Source organism: Homo sapiens, chromosome 1 (assembly GCF_000001405.40).
Source record: "Homo sapiens chromosome 1, GRCh38.p14 Primary Assembly".
Taxonomy (NCBI): domain Eukaryota; kingdom Metazoa; phylum Chordata; class Mammalia; order Primates; family Hominidae; genus Homo; species Homo sapiens.
In genome coordinates, this window is record NC_000001.11 from 223,393,412 (window position 1) to 223,401,798 (window position 8,387).

Consider the following 8,387-nt stretch of genomic DNA (forward strand, 5'->3'; position numbering starts at 1 on the left):
TCTGCAGCGTCCTCGGGAGGTCTCAGGCCCCTTGGGCAGACGCTGCGCGTGCCCAGAGGGAGGGATGGCAGGCTTCAGCCACTTCTCCCAGCCGCCCTACCGGGATCTCTGGGAACCCCCGCGGCCCGGCGGAGAACGAGAGTCCACGCAGCGGCTGGGCGGGCAGAGGTCCGGAGCCGACTCCACCGCGTGCTCCCGGGCCGGGACTCCGGGTGCGGAGAGCGAAGCTGGGGCGTGCTGGCTGCACCCGCACTGTTCGTTCACCCCGCGGCCTCGCAGGCGCGGGTGCTCAGATTCACTGCGGGGCAGCCGAAGCCTGAGCGATGTGGCCCGCAGGCCCCTGGAACGTTCCAGGAAGCACCGGCCCCGCAGCAGGCGCCTGGAAGATGCCTGGGGAGAGACAGGAACCAAGCCCCGCCCGGCTTGGCAGCCGCAGACCCAGCTGCCACCCCAGCGGCCGCAGCCCTGCCCGCATTACCCTCTGGCCCAGGGAGACTCGCCCCCGCCTTGCCCCGGAGGAGCTGGCACTCCCCTGAGTGGCACATTCAGGGTAGAAAAGGCACAGGGTGGAGACCAGTGGGCAGTGCCACTCGGCAGACATCTAGGTCGCTGGTCCCCTTCCTCAGTTCCCTCGGAGCGGTCTTCTGTGCCCTCGCAAAAGTTCAAGAGGCACTCAGCCTGCGTGTGCGCCCAGAAGAGAGACAGCAGCGACCAGGTTGAGTCATTAGCCAGCCGGGACTCCCAGCCCTTGGCCTCCAGCAAAGAGATGCGGAGCCCGCACACCCAGGTCCTGAAGAGCAAGCTGGAAGAGGTGGTGGTGTCCTCCCAGGACCAGCAGATTGTGGCCCTGGTGCTGACCCGTCTCAAGAAGGCCCAGAGGATACGGGAGCTGCAGCAGCAGGCGGCTAAGGCCTGGGAGGAGCTGAAGCGCTCGGATCAGAAGGTCCAGATGACCCTGGAGCGGGAGCGCCGGCTGCTGCTGCGGCAGAGCCAGGAGCAGTGGCAGGAGAAGGAGCAGCGCAAGACCCTCCAGAGCCCTGAGCAGCGCGGCCTGCGGCGGGACAGCCAGAGGAAGAACGTGCCCCCGGGGGAAAGCCGGTGGAAGGAGCAACCAGAGGACCAGGAGAGCCCGCGCCAGGAGAAGCTGGAGAAGGCGCGCGCCCAGGCAGAGCACCGAAAACAGTGCCAGGTGCGGCGCCTGCGGGAGCAGGAGAAGATGCTACGGAACCTCCGGGAGCAGCACAGCCTGCAGCTGCAGAGGAGGCTGGTGGAAGCCTGTCGCAAGAGGCACCTACATGCCGTGGAGGGCCAGAAGAAGGTCCAGGACACCAACCTGAGCTCCCTCATCAATTACCAGGCCCGGAAGGTCCTCATGGACTGCCAGGCCAAGGCTGAGGAGCTCCTTAGGCAGCTGTCCCTGGAACAAAGTTTCCAGCGGTCCCAGGAGATACACCAGGGCCTGAGGAAGGAGCGGCAACGCGAGCTGAGGGAGAAGGCCCAGAAGGAGGAAGAGCAGTTGCAGCAGGCCAGGTGGCGCGCAGGGGAGTCAGAGGAACAGAGGAAGATGCGCAAAAGAATTCTGGTGGAGCTGGCGGATGAGAAGATCCGACAGGCCAGGAGTCACGTGCACAAGACCACTAGGGACAAGGTGCAGCACCTCCGGGAGCTCAACCACCTGAGGGAGAAAAACCACCACATCCTGAAACTGAAAGCCGAGAAGGAGGAAAAGTGTCACATTGAGGGCATCAAGGAGGCCATTAAGAAAAAGGAGCAGAGGGTGCAGCACATTTCCCAAGGGAAAGACCCAAACTTCCAGGAGTTCCAGAAGCTCCCTCAGGCCTCCAGGAGAGAGGAGAGAGCGCCTCCCAACAGCTCCCTTGATCAGATGGTACTAGAGGCCCAGCTCCGTGCCTGTCAGCAGAACAGGGGTTACTGAGAACCAAGGACGCCTGGCTTACAGTGCGCAGCCAGAAGGAGATGTGGCAATGTGATTCCTTTTGTAATCTGATTATAATTGAACATTGATTTTAAAAAAGCATGTAAAATAGCTGCAATTTCCTCTCATGAACTGGTTTATTGATTCACTTGGATAGTTTAGAGGGTCGGAGAGAAAATTTTGGGAATTTTTGTTTTTTTAAATTATACTTTAAGTTTTAGGGTACATGTGCACATTGTACAGGTTAGTTACATATGTATACATGTGCCATGCTGGTGCGCTGCACCCACTAACTCGTCATCTAGCATTAGGTATATCTCCCAATGCTATCCCTCCCCCCTCCCCCCTCCCCACCACAGTCCCCAGAGTGTGATATTCCCCTTCCTGTGTCCATGTGATCTCATTGTTCAATTCCCACCTATGAGTGAGAATATGCGGTGTTTGGTTTGTTGTTCTTGCGATAGTTTACTGAGAATGATGGTTTCCAATTTCATCCATGTCCCTACAAAGGACGTGAACTCATCATTTTTTATGGCTGCATAGTATTCCATGGTGTATATGTGCCACATTTTCTTAATCCAGTCTATCATTGTTGGACATTTGGGTTGGTTCCAAGTCTTTGCTATTGTGAATAATGCCGCAATAAACATACGTGTGCATGTGTCTTTATAGCAGCATGATTTATAGTCCTTTGGGTATATACCCAGTAATGGATGGCTGGGTCAAATGGTATTTCTAGTTCTAGATCCCTGAGGAATCGCCACACTGACTTCCACAATGGTCGAACTAGTTTACAGTCCCACCAACAGTGTAAAAGTGTTCCCATTTCTCCACATCCTCTCCAACACCTGTTGTTTCCTGACTTTTTAATGATTGCCATTCTAACTGGTGTGAGATGATATCTCATAGTGGTTTTGATTTGCATTTCTCTGATGGCCAGTGATGATGAGCATTTTTTCATGTGTTTTTTGGCTGCATAAATGTCTTCTTTTGAGAAGTGTCTGTTCATGTCCTTTGCCCACTTTTTGATGGGGTTGTTTTTTTCTTGTAAATTTGTTGGAGTTCATTGTAGATTCTGGATATTAGCCCTTTGTCAGATGAGTAGGTTGCGAAAATTTTCTCCCATGTTGTAGGTTGCCTGTTCACTCTGATGGTAGTTTCTTTTGCTGTGCAGAAGCTCTTTAGTTTAATTAGATCCCATTTGTCAATTTTGGCTTTTGTTGCCATTGCTTTTGGTGTTTTGGACATGAAGTCCTTGCCCACGCCTGTGTCCTGAATGGTAATGCCTAGGTTTTCTTCTAGGGTTTTTATGGTTTTAGGTCTAACGTTTAAATCTTTAGTCCATCTTGAATTGATTTTTGTATAAGGTGTAAGGAAGGGATCCAGTTTCAGCTTTCTACATATGGCTAGCCAGTTTTCCCAGCACCATTTATTAAAAAGGGAATCCTTTCCCCATTGCTTGTTTTTCTCAGGTTTGTCAAAGATCAGATAGTTGTAGGTAAGCGGCATTATTTCTGAGGGCTCTGTTCTGTTCCATTGATCTATATCTCTGTTTTGGTACCAGTACCATGCTGTTTTGGTTACTGTAGCCTTGTAGTATAGTTCGAAGTCAGGTAGTGTGATGCCTCCAGCTTTGTTCTTTTGGCTTAGGATTGACTTGGCGATGTGGGCTCTTTTTTGGTTCCATATGAACTTTAAAGTAGTTTTTTCCAATTCTGTGAAGAAAGTCATTGGTAGCTTGATGGGGATGGCATTGAATCTGTAAATTACCTTGGGCAGTATGGCCATTTTCATGATATTGATTCTTCCTACCCATGAGCATGGAATGTTCTTCCATTTGTTTGTATCCTCTTTTATTTCCTTGAGCAGTGGTTTGTAGTTCTCCTTGAAGAGGTCCTTCACATCCCTTGTAAGTTGGATTCCTAGGTATTTTATTCTCTTTGAAGCAATTGTGAATGGGAGTTCACTCATGATTTGGCTCTCTGTTTGTCTGTTGTTGGTGTATAGGAATGCTTGTGATTTTTGTACATTGATTTTGTATCCTGAGACTTTGCTGAAGTTGCTTATCAGCTTAAGGAGATTTTGGGCTGAGACAATGGGGTTTTCTAGATAAACAATCACGTCGTCTGCAAACAGGGACAATTTGACTTCCTCTTTTCCTAATTGAATACCCTTTATTTCCTTCTCCTGCCTGATTGCCCTGGCCAGAACTTCCAAAACTATGTTGAATAGGAGCGGTGAGAGAGGGCATCCCTGTCTTGTGCCAGTTTTCAAAGGGAATGCTTCCAGTCTTTGCCCATTCAGTATGATATTGGCTGTGGGTTTGCCATAGATAGCTCTTATTATTTTGAAATACGTCCCATCAATACCTAATTTATTGAGAGTTTTTAGCATGAAGGGTTGTTGAATTTTGTCAAAGGCTTTTTCTGCATCTATTGAGATAATCATGTGGTTTTTATCTTTGGCTCTGTTTATATGCTGGATTACATTTATTGATTTGCATATATTGAACCAGCCTTGCATCCCAGGGATGAAGCCCACTTGATCATGGTGGATAAGCTTTTTGATGTGCTGCTGGATTCGGTTTGCCAGTATTTTATTGAGGATTTTTGCATCGATGTTCATCAAGGATATTGGTCTAAAATTCTCTTTTTTGGTTGTGTCTCTGCCCAGCTTTGGTATCAGAATGATGGTGGCCTCATAAAATGAGTTAGGGAGGATTCCCTCTTTTTCTATTGATTGGAATAGTTTCAGAAGGAATGGTACCAGTTCCTCCTTGTACCTCTGGTAGAATTCGGCTGTGAATCCATCTGGTCCTGGACTCTTTTTGGTTGGTAAACTATTGATTATTGCCACAATTTCAGCTCCTGTTATTGGTCTATTCAGAGATTCAACTTCTTCCTGGTTTAGTCTTGGGAGAGTGTATGTGTCGAGGAATTTATCCATTTCTTCTAGATTTTCTAGTTTATTTGCGTAGAGGTGTTTGTAGTATTCTCTGATTGTAGTTTGTATTTCTGTGGGATTGGTGGTGATATCCCCTTTATCATTTTTTATTGTGTCTATTTGATTCTTCTCTTTTTTCTTTATTAGTCTTGCTAGCGGTCTATCAATTTTGTTGATCCTTTCAAAAAACCAGCTCCTGGATTCATTGATTTTTTGAAGGGTTTTTTGTGTCTCTATTTCCTTCAGTTCTGCTCTGATTTTAGTTATTTCTTGCCTTCTGCTAACTTTTAAATGTGTTTGCTCTTGCTTTTCTAGTTCTTTTAATTGTGATGTTAGGGTGTCAATTTTGGATCTTTCCTGCTTTCTCTTGTGGGCATTTAGTGCTATAAATTTCCCTCTACACACTGCTTTGAATGTGTCCCAGAGATTCTGGTATGTTGTGTCTTTGTTCTCGTTGGTTTCAAAGAACATCTTTATTTCTGCCTTCATTTCGTTATGTACCCAGTAGTCATTCAGGAGCAGGTTGTTCAGTTTCCATGTAGTTGAGCGGCTTTGAGTGAGATTCTTAATCCTGAGTTCTAGTTTGATTGCACTGTGGTCTGAGAGATAGTTTGTTATAATTTCTGTTCTTTTACATTTGCTGAGGAGAGCTTTACTTCCAACTATGTGGTCAATTTTGGAATAGGTGTGGTGTGGTGCTGAAAAAAATGTATATTCTGTTGATTTGGGGTGGAGAGTTCTGTAGATGTCTATTAGGTCCGCTTGGTGCAGAGCTGAGTTCAATTCCTGGGTATCCTTGTTGACTTTCTGTCTCGTTGATCTGTCTAATGTTGACAGTGGGGTGTCAAAGTCTCCCATTATTAATGTGTGGGAGTCTAAGTCTCTTTGTAGGTCACTCAGGACTTGCTTTATGAATCTGGGTGCTCCTGTATTGGGTGCATATATATTTAGGATAGTTAGCTCCTCTTGTTGAATTGATCCCTTTACCATTATGTAATGGCCTTCTTTGTCTCTTTTGATCTTTGTTGGTTTAAAGTCTGTTTTATCAGAGACTAGGATTGCAACCCCTGCCTTTTTTTGTTTTCCATTTGCTTGGTAGATCTTCCTCCATCCTTTTATTTTGAGCCTATATGTGTCTCTGCACGTGAGATGGGTTTCCTGAATACAGCACACTGATGGGTCTTGACTCTTTATCCAATTTGCCAGTCTGTGTCTTTTAATTGGAGAATTTAGTCCATTTACATTTAAAGTTAATATTGTTATGTGTGAATTTGATCCTGTCATTATGATGTTAGCTGGTGATTTTGCTCGTTAGTTAATACAGTTTCTTCCTAGTCTCGATGGTCTTTACATTTTGGCATGATTTTGCAGCGGCTGGTACCGGTTGTTCCTTTCCATGTTTAGCACTTCCTTCAGGAGCTCTTTTAGGGCAGGCCTAGTGGTGACAAAATCGGTCAGCATTTGCTTGTCTGTAAAGTATTTTATTTCTCCTTCACTTATGAAGCTTAGTTTGGCTGGATATGAAATTCTGGGTTGAAAATTCTTTTCTTTAAGAATGTTGAATATTGGCCCCCACTCCCTTCTGGCTTGTAGGGTTTCTGCAGAGAGATCCGCTGTTAGTCTGATGGGCTTCCCTTTGAGGGTAACCCAATCTTTCTCTCTGGCTGCCCTTAACATTTTTTCCTTCATTTCAACTTTGGTGAATCTGACAATTATGTGTCTTGGAGTTGTTCTTCTCGAGGAGTATCTTTGTGGCGTTCTCTGTATTTCCTGAATCTGAACATTGGCCTGCCTTGCTAGATTGGGGAAGTTCTCCTGGATAATATCCTGCAGAGTGTTTTCCAACTTGGTTCCATTCTCCCCATCACTTTCAGGTACACCAATCAGACGTAGATTTGGTCGTTTCACATAGTCCCATATTTCTTGGAGGCTTTGCTCATTTCTTTTTATTCTTTTTTCTCTAAACTTCCCTTCTTGCTTCATTTCATTCATTTCATCTTCCATTGCTGATACCCTTTCTTCCAGTTGATCGCATCGGCTCCTGAGGCTCCTGCATTCTTCACATAGTTCTCGAGCCTTGGTTTTCAGCTCCATCAGCTCCTTTAAGTACTTCTCTGTATTGGTTATTCTAGTTATGCATTCTTCTAAATTTTTTTCAAAGTTTTCAACTTCTTTGCCTTTGGTTTGAATGTCCTCCCGTAGCTCAGAGTAATTTGATCGTCTGAAGCCTTCTTCTCTCAGCTCGTCAAAGTCATTCTCCATCCAGCTTTGTTCCGTTGCTGGTGAGGAACTGCGTTCCTTTGGAGGAGGAGAGGCGCTCTGCGTTTTAGAGTTTCCAGTTTTTCTGTTCTGTTTTTTCCCCATCTTTGTGGTTTTATCTACTTTTGGTCTTTGATGATGGTGATGTACAGATGGGTTTTCAGTGTGGATATCCTTTCTGTTTGTTAGTTTTCCTTCTAACAGACAGGACCCTCAGCTGCAGGTCTGTTGGAATACCCTGCCGTGTGAGGTGTCAGTGTGCCCCTGCTGGGGGGTGCCTCCCAGTTAGGCTGCTCAGGGGTCGGGGTCAGGGACCCACTTGAGGAGGCAGTCTGCCCGTTCTCAGATCTCCAGCTGCGTGCTGGGAGAACCACTGCTCGCTTCAAAGCTGTCAGACAGGGACATTTAAGTCTGCAGAGGTTACTGCTGTCTTTTTGTTTGTCTGTGCCCTGCCCCCAGAGGTGGAGCCTACAGAGGCAGGCAGGCCTCCTTGAGCTGTGGTGGGCTCCACCCAGTTCGAGCTTCCTGGCTGCTTTGTTTACCTAAGCAAGCCTGGGCAATGGCGGGCACCCCTCCCCCAGCCTCGCTGCCGCCTTGCAGTTTGATCTCAGACTGCTGTGCTAGCAATCAGCGAGATTCCATGGGGGTAGGACCCTCCGAGCCAGGTGTGGGATATAGTCTCGTGGTGCGCCGTTTTTTAAGCTGGTCTGAAAAGCGCAATATTCTGGTGGGAGTGACCCGGTTTTCCAGGTGCGTCCATCACCCCTTTCTTTGACTCGGAAAGGGAACTCCCTGACCCCTTGCGCTTCCCAGGTGAGGCAATGCCTCGCCCTGCTTCGGCTCGCGCACGGTGCGCGCACCCACTGGCCTGCGCCCACTGTCTGGCACTCCGTAGTGAGATGAACCCGGTACCTCAGATGTAAATGCAGAAATCACTCGTCTTCTGCGTCGCTCACACTGGGAGCTGTAGACCGGAGCTGTTCCTATTCGGCCATCTTGGCTCCTCCCAATTTTGGGAATTTCTATGAAAATGACTTCGCTTTGTGAATTTCGATTTGAATAGAAAATACTCATTTAGCTCTCAAGTAATCTTAGAAACACACAACAGGCACATTTTGGAGACACCAGAGAAAAATCTATAGTTAGGGATACAATTCTGTGATATGTCTTAAGTCTTTTCCTGTCCCAGAACTTATGAAAGGGTGAAGTATAAAGTACCGGTCATAAGAAATCTCCAAGACAAAAAGAA

At 47.1% G+C, this 8,387-nt stretch overlaps 1 protein-coding gene across 1 annotated transcript, besides 1 other annotated feature; it reads left to right on the plus strand.

Annotated features, from left to right (window-relative positions):
* The first annotated feature begins 3 nt into the window (after positions 1-3).
* Positions 4-2,054, plus strand: CCDC185 (coiled-coil domain containing 185). The gene has a single exon (NM_152610.3). The coding sequence runs from the start codon at positions 65-67 to the stop codon at positions 1,934-1,936; it is 1,872 nt and encodes a 623-aa protein (NP_689823.2). The 5' UTR covers positions 4-64; the 3' UTR covers positions 1,937-2,054.
* Positions 568-1,069: an enhancer, noted in NCBI's record as "H3K4me1 hESC enhancer chr1:223567321-223567822 (GRCh37/hg19 assembly coordinates)". NCBI's record gives its function as "activates a minimal SCP1, AML or CMV promoter by ChIP-STARR-seq in naive and primed H9 embryonic stem cells {active_cell/tissue: H9 hESC(naive and primed)}" and the evidence as "EXISTENCE:reporter gene assay evidence [ECO:0000049][PMID:30033119]".
* Positions 2,055-8,387: the final 6,333 nt, after the last annotated feature.

What these genes read in the sequence shown, in the direction of transcription:
- CCDC185 (NM_152610.3), top strand. Translation starts at nt 65, where the DNA reads ATGGCAGGCTTCAGCCACTTCTCCCAGCCGCCCTACCGGGATCTCTGG.